The sequence below is a fragment of the Homo sapiens genome, chromosome 15, assembly GCF_000001405.40.
Source record: "Homo sapiens chromosome 15, GRCh38.p14 Primary Assembly".
NCBI lineage: Eukaryota > Metazoa > Chordata > Mammalia > Primates > Hominidae > Homo > Homo sapiens.
The window spans coordinates 81,153,159-81,175,399 of record NC_000015.10 but is presented as its reverse complement, the minus strand read 5'-3'; positions in this window follow the sequence as shown (position 1 = coordinate 81,175,399).

Genomic DNA, 22,241 nt, shown 5'->3' with positions numbered 1-22,241 from the left:
CTAGACAAGAGCAGGAAAGAAACTGACAAATATCAATTGACACTTATGGCCACTATCTGGCTGGCTGACTGACTGTGGAGGTTCATCTGGATTGTCTGTTGTAGTAAAGGGAAAAAGTAAAGTGACTCCAATACCAGCCCATTACAGGGACCCAAGAAGCAATAGGGGACCCAGAGAGTAACACATGGCACCCAGGAATGAGTTAGGAACCAGAACTAACATGAAAGTCCTGGGTTAATCCCTGGGGCATCATATCTTTGCTCCCCCTTGAGGTGGAGATAAGCAAGTAATAAGTACATCATTTGGAAGATGGTAAGTAAGTTCTGCTCTTCCTACCTTAAGTCAGTTTTGTCTTGCAGAAATTATTGAGTTGTTCTAGCTAGGAAAACCTGGAGGGGGCAGAGGCTTGGCTGGAATGCGGAGTATTCCAGCTCATGCTGCCACAGATTGCTAAGCCAGGGGGGACAAAGGATTGTTGTCTGAATTCCACCTCTCCAAGGGAAACTGAATGTGTTTGGATGGATGTCAACCAGAAAGAGGCCAATGGTCCACCCAAGGCCAGATCTACTCACTGAGGCAGTTTAAAGTACAGAGAGTTAGCACAAAAGGCCAGAGCTCTGTTCTCAAGGAAGGCCCCAGAGTCAAGTTGCAAAGATCAGATCTCAGCCCTATGTCCAAAAGTGGTGACTGCAGAACTAAGAACACAGAGTGGGGGTAGACTGGATGACTTAAAGGCCAGGAGTGAGCTCGAGGGAAAGAAGAACTCCAACAATGAAAACACAGACAAGACCTCACAGAGGGGATGACATTAGGCTTAGCCTCAAAGGTATTTCCAGTCCCCCCAGGATGCCTTCTCAACTCCTTCCAGGTCATCTCACACTTTTCTCTTCCTTTACATCGACCACAGAGCCAAAATAAATCAGTAGTGAGGCTGTCAAGTTCTGGAGGCTCCCCCAGATCAGCCCCACTCTAAGCTTGGAGCTCACTTGGGTTACTGACTCTATGCCTACCCCATCTGCAGTAGACACAACCCCACTGTAGGCTTGGAGCTTATCTGGGCTGCTGGCTCCATGCCTGCAACATCTGCAGTGGACACAGCCCCACTGTTGGCTTAGAACTCACTTGGGTTGCTGTCTCCATGCCTGCACCATCTGCTATGGACACAGTGGACACAGGCCCACTGTAGGCTTGGAGCTCACTTGGGTTGCTGTCTCCATGTCTGCACCATACACAGTGGACCCAGCCCCACTGCAGGCTAGGAATTCCTACTCAGGTTGCTCTCTCTGTGCCTCCACCATTTCTGCTCCAACAGCTCCACTGTTTCTCTAGAGGCATTTTTTCATCTTTCCTCCTCCCTCTGCTGCTCCTTCTTCCTCTGCCCCTGAAACCTTAGCCTGTTCCTGTCCTTGCCCTTTACAAGAATCTCATTTGCAGCTGACACCCATCCTGCACTGTTAAGGAATCAATGGAAAGGCCCACCTAGAGCCCTGTGACTGAGCTCTCCTCCTTGGAGCCTCCTGTTGTCACCTTACTGTTTTCACCAGTGCTACTGCTTTCCATCAGCCATCCTCCTCCCACCCTGGTCCCTGAAAGGCCTGAGCCCAGATGCTTTGCTTCCAGGGTATTGGCCATTCACTCACACAAGTGAAACTTCCCACTCACCTAATAGCCAGAGAAGTTGTTATAGCCCCAAATCACATTGTTAGATGGTCATAGAACATGTTGCCTGTATCTTTCCTCTTTCCCTGAGATCATACTGGTTACAACTGTCACAAAATCAAAGCTCAGGAGGCCAAGGTGGCCAGATTATTTGAGTCCAGGAGTTCAAGACCAGCCTGGGCAACATAGTGAGACCCCCATCTCTGAAAAAAAAATTAATTGGTCATGTTGGCATGCACCAGTAATCCCAGCTACTCTGGAGGCTGAAGTGGGAGGATTACTTGAGCCCAGGAGGTCGAGGCTGTGGTGAGCTGTGATTGTGCCACTGCAATCCAGCCTGGGTGACAGAGCGAGCCCCATCTCCAAAAATAATAAGAAGAAAGAAAGAAAAATCAAAGCTCAGATGCCATCTATGTTGTCCTCATTTCTCTGATGCATTAGATTTCAATTCTGTAACTAAAAAGAACAAACTTCATTTCTTCCCAAGATGCATTCAGTAGTCAGCAAAGAGCAACTGAATGGCTGCTGGGCTTCTGTCCTCAAAACCTCTCTATTGGAGACTGACAGAGGGGACAGAGGCAAGTACATTACAGTGGGGTGATTTGGGGGATAAAGCTTAGCCCTGGGAGATGTGGGAGCACAGAAGAAGGCACAGACCCTGCTGAGTTAGGTCAGATAAATGCTGGATAGACGAATGAATTGACTCTGAACCTCGGGTGAGATGGCCAGCTGGAAAAGGGTGATGGGCATGTTTGAGTCACAGGCACCAGTATGCACCATGGTACAAGGACAGGAAATAGGAGGATGAGTTCAAGGAACCACAGTCTAATATATCAAGAATATTTCTGAGCGCCTTGTGTTTTCTCTGCTAGCACCATTACTATATTCCACATTACCCAACCCAGATAGCTACAATCTATCCCTGACTCCTTTTTTTTTTCCTTATCTCAACTTTCAGCTCAATTCCTGACAGTTATATTTTCTTTGTTTCTTTTTTTATTATTATTTGAGACAGAGTCTTGTGCTGTTGCTCAGGCTGGAGTGCAGGGGCTCGAGCTCGACTCACTGCAACCTTTGCCTCCTGGGTTCAAGCGATTCTGGTGCCTCAGCCTCAGTAGTAGCTGGGATTACAGGTGCACACCACCATGATTGGTTAATTTTTCTTGTATTTTTAGTAGAGATGTGGTTTTGCCATGTTGGCCAGGCTGGTCTTGAACTCCTGGCCTCAAGCAATCTGCCCACCTCAACTTCCCAAAGTGCTGGGATTAGACGTGAGCCACTGTTCCTGGCCCCTCACAGTTATATATTCTAAACATCTCTCAGACCCACTGACTTCTCTGCCACTTCCTGGCTTAGGCTTTCATACTATTCAGCCAGAATAACCCAAGAGTCTCCTAATTTCTCTACCTTTATCCATTCTTACTCTCTCAAATTCATCCTCTCTCATAACCATAGAAATCTGACCTTTTGGCCAGGCACAGTGGCTCACACCTGCATCCCAACACTTTAAGAGAGGAGACTGGGGTAGGAAGATTGCTTGAGACCAGGAATTCAAGACCAGCCTGGGCAACATAGGGAGACCCTCTCTCAAGAAAGAAGAAGAAGGAAGAGGAAGAGGAGGAGGGGAAGAAGTCTGACCTTTATATTTGCCATTGAACACTCGACTGAGAGACTATATAAACTATCTGAAAAAAATCCCAAACCTTCTGAATAAGGCATGTAAGCCTTTATATAACTAAGCCCTGTCTACTTGCTTCAAATGCCAGGCTCCAGCAAAGCCGAAATTGTGCTAATTGTCTGCTTTCACTGCTGTCTGTCACCTCCATGCTTTTGTGCATCTGTCCCCTCTCTTCCTTTACCTTTCTCACCCTTTGATTGCCAGCTCAGGGATCACCCTTCTAAAATTCTCCTTTGAATGCTCCCCACCACTGATATAATTCATGCCCCTTTCCCACGCTACTAAGATTCTCTGCATATTTCTAATGCTGGGCTTTCTCTGTAATTATTTGTTGACATGTCCATCTTCTCCACTGGGTTGTGAACACATTGAGGCCAAATACTAGCTCTTATTCATCTTTGTGTTCCCTGATCTAACTCAGTGTCTGGCATACAGTGTCAGGCATTGAGTGAAGACTCAAAATTGCCTAAACTAATTAAATAATGGCATTGGTGACTGATACTTCTAGTTACTAAAATAATGAATGCAGGGAAAAAAACTGGAATGATGAGAAAGATGATGAGCTCAGTTTGGACATATGGTTTGGAGCATCTGTGGGCTACAGAGAGTAGAGATGTCTGATGGGCATATGGATGCAGGAACTGGAGGTCAGGAGAGAGATCTGGGATGGGGATAGAAATATGAACATCACTGGTGTATAGAAAGTAGTTGAAGTCAAAGGTTCTGATTTAAAACAATATAGAAAGCACAGTAAGAAAAATGGACTAAGTTCTGATTCAAGCAGCAGAGACAGAAGAAAACAAAAATAACAACAATACCAAAAAAAATGGGCTATGCATGAAGCCTTATAAAATTTCAACATTGAAGAAACAAGCAATGGAAAAGACATCCAACAGAGATGCAACACCAAGACAGGGAAGAGACTGAAGAGAGATAAAATTAAGAAAGTTCCAACACGGAAGCCAAGGGGAAGGGAGGATATATTTTGCATGTTGTTCAGTCTTTGCTGGCTTTGGGACAAAATAAATAAACCCTAAGAACCTTGGGCAAATTCATTTGGCCTTCCCTCTCTCTTGCAGAAAAGACTAGCGTTCAGCGTTCCCTTGAATTAAATAGCTGTAATTTCTAGGGTGCTAAGGAAGAATGTTTTGGGGAAGAGTAGATGGACATAACTGAGAATCTGTTCAGCATTTCCATTGACTTCCCAAACCTCGTGCTAATTTGTACAGCCCATAGTCCATTTCCCATAATTTGAAATCGCTGTGTATTTGAATAGAAATATAATCCACATGTTCATGATTCATTTGCACTTTATGTAACCAAATGTTGGTCTGTAGCTGTTTGATGTCCAAGAGACCATCTGAAAAGTCTTTGCAGCCAGAAGTCATGAGTTGCCAAGAAAATTAAGAGAAAAACCTCAGCCAGCCCTATCTATAATCCAAGGCAGTCGGCAGGAAATGAATAGGTACAGTGTGAAAGACAGAGCATTCAAGCTGCCAATTGTTAGATCAGATCCATGTTCTATGTCTCAAGTTCCAGCCACTTGATGCTAAAGAAGCCATATCAACACACAGGCAATGCCTGGAGATGCACTGTCATTTATTAAACAGATTGGTTACTGTTGGACATTTAGGTCATTTCCAATTTTGTTATTACAAATTAAGCTAAAACAAAAATCTTGGTTGATAAATTTTTGCTCACATCTCTTTATTTATTTACTTTTTCAGACAGGGTCTCACTCTGTCACTCAGGTGGGAGTGCAGTTGTGCTGTCTCCATTCACTGCAACCTCTGCCTCCTGGGCTCAAGCAATCCTCCTGCTTCAGTCTCATGAGTAGCTGGGACTACAGGTGTGTTCCACCACACCCGGCTAATTGACATCTCTTATTATGCACTTCAGAAAAATTGCACTAAATTGTTTTCCTACAGGCAGTGAATGAACTTGTCTTTCTCAGGATACCTTTCCAAGCATGGAGCATCATCAATGAAATAATCCAATGGAATAACATAAAGTTATTACAAATCATGTTTCCAAAGACTATTTTACATAGTATGGGAAACTATTAATAACATAAATATAATTGCATTATTAAATATAGATAACAAAACAGGATATTTCCCTGACCTCTTAGTGGGACTCACAGTAGGAGGGACTTGTTTACTCAGCCCACCACTCTCAACTCCTCGTGGGAGGGAGCACGTGAGCAAACAAGGTGGGAACTAGGGTATATGAGTGCTGGAACCAGCTGGCCACTCCTGCATCGGCACTCGCTGGGACCCACTGTGTTCTACCCATCATGAGAGGGAGCACGCAGGTGGGCAGGTGTGGGAGCAGGGCAAGTGCTTTTCTATGCAGGCAGGAACAAACTTTGTGCAGGCCCTGAAGCAGCATCTGGGGTGGGTGATGCCTGCAACCCCTGAAGCCCCAGAGCTCTTTTAGCTCTGCCATCCATAGATGGCTTAAGTATTAACAGCTCAGTGGGCCCTTTGTATTTGCACTCATGGCTCTTGAGCTCTTATCTATTGTTCAGGAAAAATGAGGTTGCATGAATGAATTGAAGGATGGTAAATACAGGGGATTTTATTGTCCCCAGTGAAAGTGGCTCTCAGTGGGAAGGGGAGCTGAAAAGGGGATGGGACAAGTAAGTAATCTCCCCCTGGAGTCCAGCCATCTCTAGCTGGATTCTTCTCTGAAGTTATGCCATCAAGCTCTCTGAAGTCTAGTCACTTCTGTCTGATGTCCAGCCATAGTCCCCAACGTCCAGTGGCTTCTACCCTCTGCCAGCTGAGTCTGGGGTCTTTATAGGCACAGGATGGGATGGGGTGGGGCGATGGGTAATTTAGGAAAAGGCAACATTTGAGCAGGAAAACAGGGATAGAAGTTCTCACTTTGGGCCTCAGTCTCAGGCTTTTTGACTTGAGAGTGGGGCTTCGCCAGGGATCTGCCCCTGTCTGCCTAGAATTTCTCTGCCTCCTGTCACTATCAATAATATATAAGTATAAACTCAATTTTATTTAAATTATGACTTAGCTGTGATGTTTATTGTTATCAGTCAGACCTTCCAAAGTGACTCAGGGATCCAGGCTGTCTCCACCTTGTGTCTCCATCATCTTAACACAGTGTTTTCAGAGCTCCACATTGGAGGATGAGAAAGCACAAAGAATTATACAAGAGTTTTTCAACGCCTCAGGCCAGGAGTGGATATATGACATTTTTACTCATGATCTATTGCCTAGAACTTATTTTCTGACCACACCCAACTACAAAGCAGCTAGGAAGAGCATATGGATATTTAGTGAGTATTCATTATCTCAGCCACATTCTGGTCACCAAATGTCCCTCTTCTCCCTCCTTTCTCCACAAAACAAACAAACACTCACTGTTACTCCATGAGAGACAACACAAAGTCCCATCCCGTCCAGGCACCCAGCTCAAAAGATTAGAATCTCCAGAAGATGCACGGTGGTCTCTGCATTGAGTCAGATGTGGCTCCTCATGGTCGAGGGGACTATCATCCTAGAACAGGGGTCACCAAATATTTCCTCAAAGGGCCAAAGTGTAAGTATGTAAGGCTTGCAGGCTATAACATCTCAGTTGCAACTCCTCAACTCGCCATTGTAGCACAAAAAGCAGTCACAGACAGTATGCAAATGATGAGCTTGGCTTTTGTAAATAAATCTAACTTTATTTACAAAAACAGCCAGAAGGGTCCAGGTGCAGTGGTTCATGCCTGTAATCCCAGCACTTTGGGAAGCCAAGGCTGACAGATTGCTGGAGGTCAGGAGTTCAAGACCAGCCTGGCCAACATAGTGAAACCCTATCCCTATTGAAAACACACACACACACACAAAAAATTAGCTAGGTGTGGTGGTGCATGCCTGTAGTCCTAGCTACTCAGGAGGCTGAAGCATGAGAATCGCTTGAACCTGGGAGGCAGAGGTTGCAGTGAGCCGAGATCGTGCCACTGCACTCCAGCTGGGTGACAGAGTGAGAACCTGTCTCAAAAAAAAAAAAAAAAAAAAAAAAAAAAGAAGAATAAAAAATAGGCAAAAGGCTTGTAGGCTGTATTTGGCCAGTGGCCAATAGTTTGTCAACTGCTGATCTGAAAAGTCAAGTTACCTTCCTTCTACGTACCAGTATTCAGTGGTGGAACAGAGACAAGACAATAGCCATAAGGACTCTCATTCAAAGAGGAGAAAAATGGGAGACTCCAGCAGTCATAGAACCATAGAAATTCTGCAATCCTACTGGACAGCCATTGTGAGGACCTCTGACCTCGAGGGTGGGAGATGTTCCCTAGTTAGTCCTTTACCCTTTACGCTGCTCTCTGGAGGACACTCCCTTTTTTATTGTCCTCCAAGGACATATTTCAGAAGTTTCTTCCTTTTCCCTTGCCTCCTTGGCCTCATCTGAAGTAGGTTTCAGAAAATGTGTCCTCCTGGGGGGCTGCATAGCTTTCCCAGCCTGTTTGCCTCTTGGAGTCTCAAGAGTGGTTATAGGTCCCAAATAATCACAGGGCTTTTAAGGCCAGAATCATGCGAGGGGAGGTTGCTTTGTTTTGTTGGTGTACTGGTGTATGAGTCTCTAAGTTTAGCAGTCAGTTCCTCTTCCAAGAACCACACCCATTGTTCTTAGAAGGCTTGTTTTCCAGATCTGCCTTATTTCTTCAGTCTGGGCACCCCAGCTTCTTTCGCTCAATGTGTTGGTGGCTACCTTGAGGCAACTTGGAGCCATAGGTGTCAAGGCCACAGCTTTAATCTAATATTTGCTCTGATACATTGTAGCCAGAGGGAAATTTTAACAATAGGTATGGAACACACCCTTCATTTGAATTTGCCTTAATTCCAACTGGAAAGCACACCCTTAATTTGATATTTGCCTTTGGCCATTTAAAATCTTTCTAAATTCCATTACTTAGCATTTATCATCTAAAGGCAGTTAGCTTTTCAACTTTAATTTCTGGCCTTTATTTTCTTTTATTACTCCTAGAAACTAGTCAATTATTTTCTGTGCTTATCTCTTCCTTGTAAATTTTGTTAAGCACAGTAATAATCAGGACATGCTACCAACATTCTATTTTCAACCCCTTCCCCTAGAGCTACAAGTTCATTAGGAAGTGAATAAGCCTTCCAAGTTATCGCAGGCTAGTCTTACAAATATTTTACCACTGTACAGCAGGGGCTGCAGGGTTTTCAGTCTGATTCTGTTTCCTCACTGCTGCTGCCTAACCAATCTGTCAATGCACATATTTTAGTTTTTTTCCTCACTGCTGTTGCCTAGCCAATCTGTCAACGCAGCATTCCATTTCTACTACCAATTTCTAAATTAATTAGAACAAGTCAGGAAATATTATCATCACAAATTAATCCCAATATTCAGGGGTTTATACAAGTAACGTGTTTTCTCATAGGAAGTCTGATATGAGTTTGATGGCTCTTTATGGCATATAAAATGTATGTTAAGGAGACACATGAAAAATTAACAGTACAGGTACTTATATCCAGTATAAGTATATAGTGAGCATTTACTTAATCCAGTGAGCATTTATTATTTTTTAATCAGAAAAATTTGCAAATATTAAAGTCAATAGGTAATTCAGTTGCTTGGAGGGTATGGTTCCTAACAGTTAACTGACTTTTTCTTCTGACGTCTAGTCCTCTGAATGGGTCTTTCAAGATTACACATTAGGCCAGGCACAGTGGCTCACACCTGTAATCTCAGCACTTTGGGAGGCTAAGGTGGGAGGATTGCTTAAGCCCAGGAGTTAGAGACCAGCCTGGGCAATGTGGTGAAACCCCGTCTCCACAAAAAAATACAAAAATTAGCTGGGTGTGGTGGTGCACACCTGTAGTCCCAGTTACTCGGGACACTGAGGTGGAAGGATTGCTTGAGCCCAGGAGATGGAGGTTGCAGTGAGCTTAGATCATGCCACTGCACTCCACCCTGGGCAACAGAGCAAGACCCTGTCTCAAAAAACTAAAGAAGTAAAAAAGTTACACACTAGTATATAGGCCCCTCTCTCTACTGGAATGGCCCTCACTCTATGAAGTCTTCCCAATTACGAAGCATCCCTGAGTCTCTCCCTCTTCTGTTCTCTCACATTCCTATTTGTGTAATTACAGCATTTAGATATTGTATATTATTTTATAATATAGGAATATGCTTTTCTTTTTGCATTTCTGTTTCCATTCTTTTCCTAGGCAGTGTGAGGCATACACCTGCCTGGAGATGGGAGAAGAGGCAAGCAAGTACAGACCAGTAGAGTAGGAAGGCAACACGAGTCATTCAGCTTCTGGCATCTGCATAGGATTTTCTGGATCTCCAGCCATGCAGTAGTTCTATAAGCTAGATTTATTGCAAGAAAGAAAACCAATTGGTTTTCTTACCCCCATTCCTCTTTGGCTTATTAGGAGGCAGGCCTGGTTGCTAAACTTCATGATTCATTCCATAATAGAAAGCAAATACCTTCGGCCTTGGAGGGAGACAACGGCCTAAGATGCTACCCTAGGGGAGATGGTATAACATAGAAGAAGTAGAGATTGGAGCTAACATCTCTGGTCTCAAAGAATAATGGACAGAAGAGGAGATTGGTAAGAGAAGGAAAAAGGGGCATAATATTGACACAGGCTGTTTTCTTGACCCCTACATGGGACCCATGACAGGGGTGTCTTGTTTACTCAGCCTGCCATGCTCAACCCTTCATGGGAGGGAGCATGTAGGAAAGCAAGTGCAGGCTGCTTCAGTGCCAGCAGAATCAAACTCCATTTACTCGGACCCACTGCGCCCCACGCTTCATGGGAGGGAGTGCATAGGTGAGCGAGTGCTAGAACCAGCCAGCCACTTTGGCGCAGGCAGGAGCCAACTCCGTGCAGGCCCCATAGCAGCATCCAGGTGGGGGCATTTTCCTAAACTTCCCTAAAATATCAGGATTAATATATAGATAGAAACAGGAAGTAGAGAATCTCTAGGCAAGCAGGGGAGGGTCCCTGGCAAAGCTCGATATTCAAGCTGAAAAGCATGAAACTCATGGCCCAAAATGAGAACTTCTATCCCTGTGTGCCCACTCTTTCCCAATTGGTTCTTTCTGAATAATGTCTTTTTACCAACTGAATATTGCCTTTTCCAAAACTACCTACAGCCCATCCCACCCTCCATCCTGTGCCCCAGACTCAGCCAGTAGATGGGAGAAGCAGCTGGATGTCGAGGACAGGCAACTTGACTTTGGAGGAGAGAGGCAGAGAGGTGACTTGACTTCAGAGGAAAGCCCAATTCAAGCTGGAGTCGCCTCTCATATACAACCATAGGGAAATCATGACTTGCAGAACTTAAAGGGAAACCACATCAAAGTAAACTCATGATTTGGCAGGATCAGGGAGATGGGGCTTGAGTTGAGCACAAACAAGCTGCTTTTCATTCCTGTGTGCTGTGCTCATGATTGAAAAGTTCAATTTGTGGAAGAAGATAAGCAGAAGTTAGCTGAGGATTCAGCAGGAGAGTTTACTAGAGGAGGTCCCTGCTGTAGGGAGAAAGTGGCCTGTACCTGAAGGCAGTAGGGCAGCCACAGTGCCATCGAGAACTGAGGGGAGGTTTGGTCAACCAAGAAGGACTATACAGTACTGACCAGGCCAGATCACTAATCACTCCAGCCACAGACAACTATGGCCAGTATCAGCAGAGGGAGCTGGTCAGCCTTCAGCAGTCACCAGCCCAGAGCAGTCCAGGTGCCTCATGGCAGAGCTCAGCAAGGACCCTCCAGGACAACTCATGGACTCAAGAACCCGCCTTTTCCCCTGCTGTCATGCACAGTTTGTAAGCCCTCCACATGCACTACATACCATCTTGGGTTAGGGAAGGATGGTGGGGACAAACCTAAGAGATCAAAAATTTTACCTAAAGGGACTGTTTGAATTATTGCATCAGAATAAGATTTTATGGTTTATTTAAATCTAATTCATCTCCTCCCCATCACACCTTTGCCAGGTGGTAGAGATTTGTTAAGAAAATCATATAGCTGTAGAGAATAGGAGTCCTTTGTTTTGCACATTTAAATTGTAGTGTGAAGTTGGCATGGAACATACCTGTAGTCCTAGGTGCTTGGGAAGCTGAGGCAGTGGGACTTCGAGGTTACAGTGAGCTACAATCACACTGCTGCACTCTAGCCTGGGTGACAGAGTAAGATCCTATCAAAAAACAAAAAACAAAAAACCTGTAATCCCCAGCACTTTGGGAGGCTAAGGTAGGCAGATCACAAGGTCAGGAGTTCAAGACCAGTCTGGCCAACATAGTGAAACCCCGGCTATACTAAAAAAAAAAAAAAAATTAAAAAATATTAGCCAGGCGTGGTGGTGGGCACCTGTAGTCCCAGCTACTTGGGAGGCTGAGGCAGAATTGCTTGAACTTGGGAGGCAGAGGAGGTTGCAGGGAGCCAAGATCGCGCCACTGCACCCCATCCTGGGTGACAGAGTGAGACTCCATCTCAAAAAAAAAAAAAAAAAAAAAACTACAGTGCAAGTACATGTTCCAACTACAAGTAAATGGTGTAGTCTTTGCATATAACCCATACACATCTTCCTATATATTTTAAATCACATCTAGATTACTTATAGTACCCAATACAATGTAAATGCTATATAAACAGTTGTTATACTGTGTTGGTTTTTATTTGTATTATTATTTTTTTCTTTTTTAGAGATGGGGTAGCTCTCTGTTGCCCAAGCAGTGGTGTAATCAAAGCTCACTGCAATATCTCAAACTCCTGGGCTCAAGCAATCCTCCTGTTTCAGCCTCCCAAAGAGTTGAGATTACAGGCATGAGCCACCATGTCCTGCCTCATATTATTATTATTATTATTATTTTTTTTTTTTTTTTTTTTTTTTTTTTTTTTGAGACGGAGTCTCGCTCTGTCGCCCAGGCTGGAGTGCAGTGGCGCGATCTCGGCTCACTGCAAGCTCCGCCTCCCGGGTTCACGCCATTCTCCTGCCTCAGCCTCCCGAGTAGCTGGGACTACAGGCGCCTGCTACCACGCCCGGCTAATTTTTTGTATTTTTAGTAGAGACGGGGTTTCACCGTGTTAGCCAGGATGGTCTCGATCTCCTGACCTCGTGATCCGCCCGCCTCGGCCTCCCAAAGTGCTGGGATTACAGGCGTGAGCCACCGCGCCCGGCCTCATATTATTTTTTTATGGTCGTATTATTATTTTTTATTGTGAGTTTTTTTCTCCTACATTTTCTATTCATAGAGATTTATAAGAGTTAGAGATGAGAAAAGGGTTTTTTGGAGAAAACTGGTGGTGTTCTCTGTCCTTTCGTCATCCCTAAAGAGGGATGAGAATATGTCCCCCTCTACCTGAAGTTAACAGAAGAGAGCTTCAAGGAGGTCACCCAGGGATATTGATTAGCACCTTCTGCCATTTGAAGGAAACCCAGTACTGGTGCTGACTCCCACCTGGAAAGGCTAAAAAGAGAGAGAAATGAGGAAATATTGAGTTGCTGCTTTGGTGGCAAGAAGAAAGAGTGGCTTCATGGGGCTGGATCTATGCACCCAGAATTTGTTGGAGCTGGAAGAGTCCGTGGCTGTTCCTTTGGGCCAGATGTGGGCTACAAGAAGGAGAGAGAGAGAGAGAGAGAATGTGGGATCATCCTCAGCCCCATCTAAGTGGTATCCTTGAAAGAGAAGACAGACCTCAACAGCAGGAACCCAAAAGTATGGGGGATGCCCGGAGGCTGAGAGCAAGCAATGAGTTGGATGAGAGACCAATCTGCCTTCCATAGAAACCCTAGGAAAGACCCCACAGAGTGGGAGATCCCCAAGGAAGTCTCAAAACACTCAAGATAGACAGTGACCTTGGCCATCTGCCAAGACCAGAGAACCCAGAAGCTAGATCTCTCAGAACTGGTGTCGAGAAAGAACTTTCCTGATGATCTCATTTATTTTCCTGCCCTCAAACTTCAACCCCAAAAGGGTCGGAAACTGCAGTTGGCGAGGTGGAGAAGCAAATCTACCAGGGGCCTCCTGACAGCAGTGAGCCGAGCTGGAGGAGGAGGAAAGATTCAACTTCACATTAAGTTCAGAATTTCATTATGACACGGAAAAACAACATTGTAATTGCCTAAACTGAGCCTGTGTTTGGCAACATAAAGTGGTCCAAGATCACTTTACCAGCTAAGGGACCAGTGGAGCAGCGTTCATCCTGGGGACAGGAGGAAGCGTCTCCCTGGGACTAGACTAAAGGGCCCCTGCTTGGGCGGTAGGAATGAAGGCACTTTATCAATCCATTACTTGCTTGTTCCATGTCTGGGATACATAAGGAAAACAGAAAGGAGGAGAGGCAGGTACATAGGGAAAGAGAGATAACAGAAAGGGAGATAGGAGAAGTGGCAGGGAAGAGACGGGCAGGGGAGGAGAGAGAAGAGGTGAGCAAGTAACCATTAAGAGTAATAGAAAAAGAAGACACAGGAAGAGAGGAGGAGAGAAATAAGCAACGGGTCCATGCCCCCATCTACCCTTTATCTTCGACTTTTGTTTGCCACTTGTAACAGGAACTGTCCTGTCCTGCCCAAATTTCCTCTGTGGCTTCCTACTGCAAGTACCTGGGGCTTCCCCTTAGGGCTTTCTCTCAGCCCACTCCCTGCAGCAGGACAAAAAAGCCAAGGAGTTCCCGTCCCCAGAGCAGTCCTCAATCAAAGACAGATGTGAGATGAGAAGCAAATCTCCCCACGTGCTCACCCCTCAGGTGGGGTTTTGCTGAGGCACATCCTGCCTCTCAGGTTCTGTAGTGGTATGGAGTTCCAGCTGCCCCCAGTGCTACCTGCTTGGTAAAAAGCACCTTTTATTGACTTGCCTCTCTTTCCTGTCTCATATCACCTCTCAAATGAGCTGTTTGCACTCACATCCTTGTCTGCTTCCCATCTCTATCCCAGAAGTAGAGGCCACTCCCTCCCCTCTGTCTCCCAGGGGGACCCTAACCTCCTCCTCTTTCCATCTCCAGCCACCTGCGGCAGGCCTCTGTTGAATGTCTCTAACCCATAGCATTATCCCTACTTGGAGGGAAGGAAGGATGTAAAACCAAGATGCTTCTCTCACCATTCTCCCACCCTTCCCAAAGGGAGACCAGATCTCAGCTCAGGGGATCCCGCCAGCCCCAAGCAAGCCAGGCAGTGTCCTGGTGTGGCAGCTCACAGGCCCTGGCAGTGCATTTCAAGGGTGGTGCTGCTTCCTGCCCGTCTGTTTGGGAGCACATTCAGGAGACGTGAGCAGATGTTTGGCAAATGTTCAACCTTGTCCATGTCAGCCAACAATAACACAGCACAGAGACGATGCAGGGATGGAGGAAGGGAGGATACTTGCTTAGCAGCTAGGGATGGCCACAGGAGACACCATCTCCAGCTCCTTCTGGGTGGGAGGGAGGCAGAGTGTTCATGCATGACTTGCATGCGTGAGTTAGAGCATGGGACGCATAGTGCCAGTATTCTAGGGTGGAGTCCTGGGGGGATCCGCCTGTTTTTCTCAGCTCCCCAGACAAAGCCCACAACCCCAATGCCAGCCTGGCTGCCCAGGGAGGCCTGCAGAAGCTGCAAGAATTTGGGTTTATCAGAAAGGGAGGGCCTGGGCAGGACAAGCTAACATGTGGCCCACGATCCCCTCCTGGACACAAGAGGGCATCTCGAATGCTCTTCCCACAGAGACTGGACATTTCTCTAATCTTTTTCAGCACAGGGCTCCGGAGAACCACTACCCATTGACAGAGCTGGGGAGACGAGTCCCATGCACTGTCCGTCCGGGCTGGAGGGATGTGGCGGGCGACTGAGTTTCCAGGGGTGCTGAGGCACCTGTGGGTGCTCAGGGAACTAAGAACCACCTTCTTAAGACATTTTTTATTTTAAAGTATTTAATGGGCCGGGCGCAGTGGCTCACACCTGTAATCCCAACACTTTGGGAGGCCAACGTGGGCGGATCACAAGGTCAGGAGATCCAGACCATCCTAGCTAACATGGTGAAACCCCATCTCTACTAAAAATACAAAAAAAAAAAAAAAAAAATTAGCCAGGCGCGATGGTGGGCACCTGTAGTCCCAGCTACGCGGGAGGCTGAGGCAGGAGAACGGCGTTGTGTCCGGAATTGGTGGGTTCTTGGTCTCACTGACTTCAAGAATGAAGCCTCGGACCCTCGCGGTCAGTGTTACAGTTCTTAAAGGCGACGTGTCCGGAGTTTGCTCCTTCTGACGTTCAGATGTGTTCCGAGTTTCTTCTTTCTGGCGGGTTCGTGGTCTCGCTGGCTCAGGAGTGAAGCTGCAGACTTTCGCGGTGAGTGTTACAGCTCTTAAGGTGGCGCGTCTGGAGTTGTTCGTTCCTCTCGGTGGGCTCAGTGATCTCGCTGGCTTCAGGAGTGAAGCTGCAGACCTTCGCGGTGAGTGTTACTGCTCATAAAGGCAGTGTGGACCCAAAGAGCAAAAGAACAAAGCTTCTTGTGGAAGGGGACCCGAGCGGATTGCCACTGCTGGCTCTGGCAGCCTGCTTTTATTCTCTTATCTGGCCCCACCCACATCCTGCTGATTGGTAGAGCCCAGTGGTCTGTTTTGACAGGGTGCTGATTGGTGCGTTTACAATCCCTGAGCTAGACGCAGAGGTGCTCCACGTCCCCACTAGATTAACTAGATACAGAGTGTGGACACAAAGGTTCTCCAAGGCCCCACCAGAGAAGCTAGATACAGAGTGTCGATTGGTGCATTCACAAACCCTGAGCTAGACACAGGGTACTGATTGGTGTGTTTACAAACCTTGAGCTAGATACAGAGTGCCGATTGGTGTATTCACAATCCCTGAGCTAGACATAAAGGTTCTCCAAGGCCCCACCAGAGTAGCTAGACACAGAGTGTCCATTGGTGCATTCACAAACCCTGAGCTAGACACAGGGTGCTGATTGGTGTGTTTACAAACCTTGAGCTAGACATAAAGATTCTCCACGTCCCCACCAGACTCAGGAGCCCAGCTGGCTTCACCCAGTGGATCCCGCACCGGGGCTGCAGGTGGAGCTGCCTGCCAGTCCCGCGCCGTGCGCCGGCACTCCTCAGTCCTTGGGTGGTCAATGGGACTGGGCACCGTGGAGCAGGCGGCGGTGCTCATCGGGGAGGCTCGGGCCGCACAGGAGCCCACGGGGGGTGTGGGAGGCTCAGAATGGCGGGCTGCAGGTCCCGAGCCCTGCCCCGCGGGAAGGCAGCTAAGGCCCGGCAAGAAATCGAGCGCAGCACCGGTGGGCTGGCACTGCTGGGGGACCCAGTACACCCTCCACAGCCGCTGGCCCGGGCGCTAAGCCCTTCATTGCCCGGGGCCGGCAGGGCCGGCCGGCTGCTCCGAGTGCGGGGCCCGCCAAGCCCACGCCCACCCGGAACTCCAGCTGGCCCGCAAGCGCCACGCGCAGCCCCGGTTCCCGCTCGCGCGTCTCCCTCCACACCTCCCTGCAAGCTGAGGGAGCCGGCTCCGGCCTTGGCCAGCCCAGAAAAGGGCTCCCACAGTGCAGCGGTGGGCTGAAGGGCTCCTCAAGTGCTGCCAAAGTGGGAGCCCAGGCAGAGAAAGCGCCGAGAGCAAGCAAGCGAGGGCTGTGAGGACTGCCAGCACACTGTCACCTCTCAGCGTGAACCTGGGAGCTTGCAGTGAGCCGAGATCGCGCCACTGCACTCCAGCCTGGGCGAAAGAGCGAGACTCCATCTCAAAAAAAAAAAAAAAAAAAATTTAATTGACAAATAGTGTATACATTCAAAGTATACAACATTATGATTTGATATAAATATACACTGTGTAAGTTTCCCTGAGGGCAGGAAAACTTATCCCAAGTTGTGTCACCAGGGTTAAAATACCATCATTAGCATAGCTAACATTTATTGAGCACGTACTATGTGCCAGACACTCTTCTAAGCACTCTTTTTCATGCATTAACCAATGTAATTCTCATATAACCTGTAAGCCAGGTACCATCATTATCTGAGTTTTTACGGAAGCAGAAACTGAGTCATGGAGAGGTTAACTTACCCAATGATACACAGTTGGTAAGTAGGAGAGCCAGGCACTCTGAATCTGGAGCCAGAACACTTCACCTGTAACTTAACCTCTCAGGCAGAAATCCTTCATGAATTTTTGTTGGCTAGAATTGAATCAGTAAGATTGGAGATTGAGCAATACTGTAGTGTATCATGGGGAGTGACCCTAGGAGTGCTCAATCAAACCAAATAGCACATCTCTTATCACCCACGTGGATCTGTACATGAGATCCCTAGAAGTTGTTAATCGTATAAAGTTTGTATCCTCTGAACAATATCTTCCCATTTCCCTCACCTCCCAGTCCCTGGGAACCACCATTCTACTCTCTGCTTCTGGGAGTTTGACTCTTTCAGATTCCACATGTGAGTGAGATCATGCAGTATTTATGTTTCTGTGTCTGGCTTATTTCACTTAATGTCCTCCAGATTCACCCATGCCTTCACAAACAACTGCGGTCCCACCATAGACTCATAGCAGGGATGGGGGGATGCCCAGCTCCCAGGCTTCCTCCACAGTCCTCACCACTGCTCCCTGCTCCCCAAGACTGGATGGTACCTGAGCTGAGCAGTTCCCCTGGCACCTTGCCTCCTTCCCTCCCACTCACTCAGACATGGTTCTGCAGAACGTTCTCCCTGCAGACATGGCTCTTCCTGTCACCTTTGGATGGTACATTTGAAGCAGGTCTCAACATGGAACTTGAGGGCACACCTAGGGTCACTCCCCATGATACACTACAGTATTGCTCAATCTCCAATCTTACTGATTCAATTCTAGCCAACAAAAATTCATGAAGGATTTCTGCCTGAGAGGTTAAGTTACGGGTGAAGTGTTCTGGCCCCAGATTCAGAGTGGCTGGCTCTCCTACTTACCAGCTGTGCAACACTGGGTAAGTTAATCTCTCCATGTCTCAGTTTCTACTCCAGTAAAACTCAGATAATGATGGTACCTGGCTTACAGGTTATACGTGAGAATTACATTGGTTAATGCATGAAAAAGAATGCTTAGAAGAGTGTCTGGCACATAGTACGTGCTCAATAAATGTTAGCTATGCTAATGATGGTATTTTAACCCTGGAGACATAACTTGGGATAAGTTTTCCTGCCCTCAGGGAGCTTATGGTCAAGCATGGTAGACAGAGGTAAACACACCATACAATTCAGAGTGACAAGTGCTGTAAGAGAGGAAGTACTAACTCATGTGCTCCACTGGACAAATCAGTCCACCTCTCCAAGCTTTCATTTACCTGTAAAATGAGGGAGAAGGAAGAACTAGCATTTAGCAGTATGAGCCAAGCCCTGGGCTGAACATGGGGGATGCGGATATTAAAATCATATGTGTATACCCACAGCATCTGTATTTGAGGGGCTCATAGTTAAGTGGAAGAGAGACAAATATTTAAAAATTAGAATGCAGCAATGCAAGGCAGAGATACATACAAGAGACCCAAGCAGTCTTGACAATTATTATTCTTATTGACGTAGTTCTAGACAGGATGCTCAGTGCTTAACCACACAACTCCACTTAATCTGCACAGGAAGCCTGAGAGATGGGTAATATTTTAGCCCTCTTTTTAACCTATGAAGGAATGGAGGCCCAAAGTGGTGCAATGACTTTCCAAAGACATGCAGCTGGGAAGCGAACAGTGTCCACACTGAGTTGTCTGATCCCAGAGCCAGCACTCAGAACCATGATCTCCTCCTGCTTCTCTCAAATACGTTGTCTCGTTCTATTTAATCTTCTAAACAACTCTGAGAGGGAGCTAGTAATCCTATAGAGAAAACTGAGGCTTCACGAGGGCAAAGTGGCTTAGCTGAGGATGGTAAGTAGCAGCGAGGGCTTTGAAATCACTATTCGGCACATCATGCAGGACCCCTGGACCTGGGGTTTAGGGTACAATTTCTTGGAGGGACCTCCAGGCTCCAGATGCAATGTTTATAAAAAGTCCCAAAGGGGCTGTAGGCTAACCTGAACTTCCTTTGTCGCAAACCCTAGGAATGCTGTTTTATTCAGGTTTTACACGTGCCTAATACACGGTTTTCTTTATAAAGTCAAAAAACATTGAATTCATACTCTGACCACAGTGTTTTTATGGTTTTTCCCCTCTTAGAATGTACATTTTGAAAACTGAAAACCCCCTCGTATTTTGCAATAAGCTCAATATTTGAGCAACTGCAAGTGTTGACTTGTTAGCATTATTAACATTGACATCTCGTGGCCACTTTGGAAAACTGCAAGATCAAATTGGCAGGACAGAAACCAGGCCTCCTTCCAGGTTGCAAAACCTCTTCAAGGTTCATCAGTCTCGACTTCTCAGCAGACACTGTCACCAGAGGGGGATCTGTTCAGAATTTGCCTCTGTCTAACCCCTGGGTTTAGGTGGGTCCCTTCTCCTATCTGGGCCTATCTTCCTCACCTGTAAAATGACCGGGGAAGCCAAATCAGCTGGTCCTTGTAGGTTCTGACACTCTATGGTTCTGTCATTGCCATCCAATCAGATGAAAGGAAAATGGTATCTCATTGCTGTCTTCATTTGAACATGTTTTGAAATGTTTATTGGATCCTCGAATTACTTCTTTTAGAGTTGCCAGTTTAAGCCTTTGCCTTATTTTTCTAATGGGGTGTTTACAGTTTTATCTTGCATTTGTAGGAGTTCCTTATATATTAACCAATTGACTTCTCTGCGACATCATCTCCCCATAGGAATTGAACCCAGTAATTTAGCCAGGCTCTCCTTACGCCAAGTCTTCAAGATAACTGAATTTATATTGAATTATTATCAAATATAGAAATACTTATAAATAGTTGTAGTTCTTTTTTTTTTTTTTCTTTTGAGACAGGATCTTGCTCTGTTGCCCAAGGTGGAGTTCAGTGTCATTACCATAGCTCACTGTAACCTCTAACTTCTGGGCACAAGTGATCCTCCCACCTCAGCCTCCCAAGTAGCTAGGACTACAGGCATGTGCCGCCACACCTGGCTAATTTTTTTTAATTTTTTGTAAAGATGGGTTCTATGTTGCACAGACTGATTTCAAATTCCCAAAGTACTAGGAGTACAGGCATGAGCTACACCGGGGCCTACACAGTTGCTCTTAAAAACAAAGCTATTTTCTTTTGAAACAGCTACAGACAAATAAGGAGACGTTGAGTGTATTTACTAATGGAAAAAACAGTGTCTCTATTATTTTTTGCCTTTGAAGGGATATTGGGGAAAAAAATCTGCCAAAACCCATTAATCAGACTTCAGCTTTGTTCTCCTCAGGTTTAAGCCTTTGGGGGCTTTCACCAACTGTAATTTCAGACTCACAAATGACCTCCTTCAATTACCTCATACCCCTCACTCCCAGACTAACCTTCCTTTCCTGTCCTATCTCTCCCTTGCTCAAAAATATGTGGTGGCTCCCAAATGCTCCATATATTAATATAGACTGCCACACTCTGACCCCTCTACCTCCTTCAATGTCTCATCTCCCTTCTGACCCTCTCTGCAGTGGAAGCCTTAAAGGTAGGAACACATTTACTCCCCACTGGATCCCCAGTGTCTACCTCAAGACCTGGTATAAAATAGTCAATGATGTCTGCTGGATCTGGTTGAATGCAAAAATGTCTACTGTATATGGGAAAGGAGTCGAGTCCTCCTCCAGGTATGGAACCAAATGTGATAAAGATGAACTCACTTACTGACTGGGATGTACACATATTAAATTCATAGGAAGGTGGAGGGGGAGCAACAGAGGCCCTTTCACACGTGGGCACCTGCTTTTGCGTAGCTAACATATCCAGTCCTCTCAGAAGCCCTCAAAGGTGAAGTTCTTGGAGCTAGGACATGGAGAACCCTAGCCACTGGGCTCGTTGGTTTCTTCCTTGCTCCCGCTGGCAGGATGCTAAAGGTGCTCTTCAATCCCAAAGTTGTATTTGCTATCAGTTACCCAAGACTTAGGTGAGTGTGATAGAGACAAACAGCCTAGCAGATGACAGCACTGTAGGTGGGTTGCAGCTATATCCACACCAAAACAACCTCCACTCAGGGACCAGACATTCCCAGATGACTGCTTGTCACCTTTCCTGTGCACCTGTTTTTCCTACTGGGTTTGAATCTCAGGGAGAGGCATGTGCCCCAAATCTGAGTGTCCACCTTCTCCTTCTCTCCTGGCCTTATACCCACCAAGCTATAGAGTCCTGTCTCTCTCTTCCTGGCCTCTCTCTAACCCATGCCCTTTTCCCAGTGCTTCCTGACACTGCCTTAGTTCAAAGCCGCATCAGTTCCTCCTCCCGTGCCTCCATAATCATCTTTTTAAAGTAAAATCATGACACTTTCCTCCTCAAAGCCTTTCACAGGCTGACCATCACCTTCAAGATCAAATTCAAGTTCGATAATTGATACATGAAGCCAAGAGTGATATTCAAAATAGTTAACCACCTCTATAGTTTTTCTTGAGTATCACTGGATATTAGCCAAATAAAACAAACTCCAGGCACCATGGTGGGGTAGGGTCTTGCAGGCCCCACCATTGGGCTGAACATTAACCCTTTAGTTGCTGGTTGTAGGGAAATCCAAGGGTCTCCAGGGAGGTGCCAGGGTTACAGGGGGCACTTTAGGGGCTTGAGTCAGTAGCTATTTTCCAACCAGGTTGGAGACATTATCGTATTTTAACAGCCAGTATAGCCATGCTGAGTGTACCAGCACACAGCCCATTTTGAATGTCTCTTGCCAGTCCCCACTTCTCCCCAGGAGAGGTGTTGGCCCTTTGCAAACGCAGTCTCCTTTGCCTGGAATGCTCTTCCCATGTGTGTCCTTTCCAGCTCAAGTGTCATCTGAAGGCAGGCTTCCCTGGACTCCAGGTATAAGTAATGCGGTCCTTCTACTGGGATTT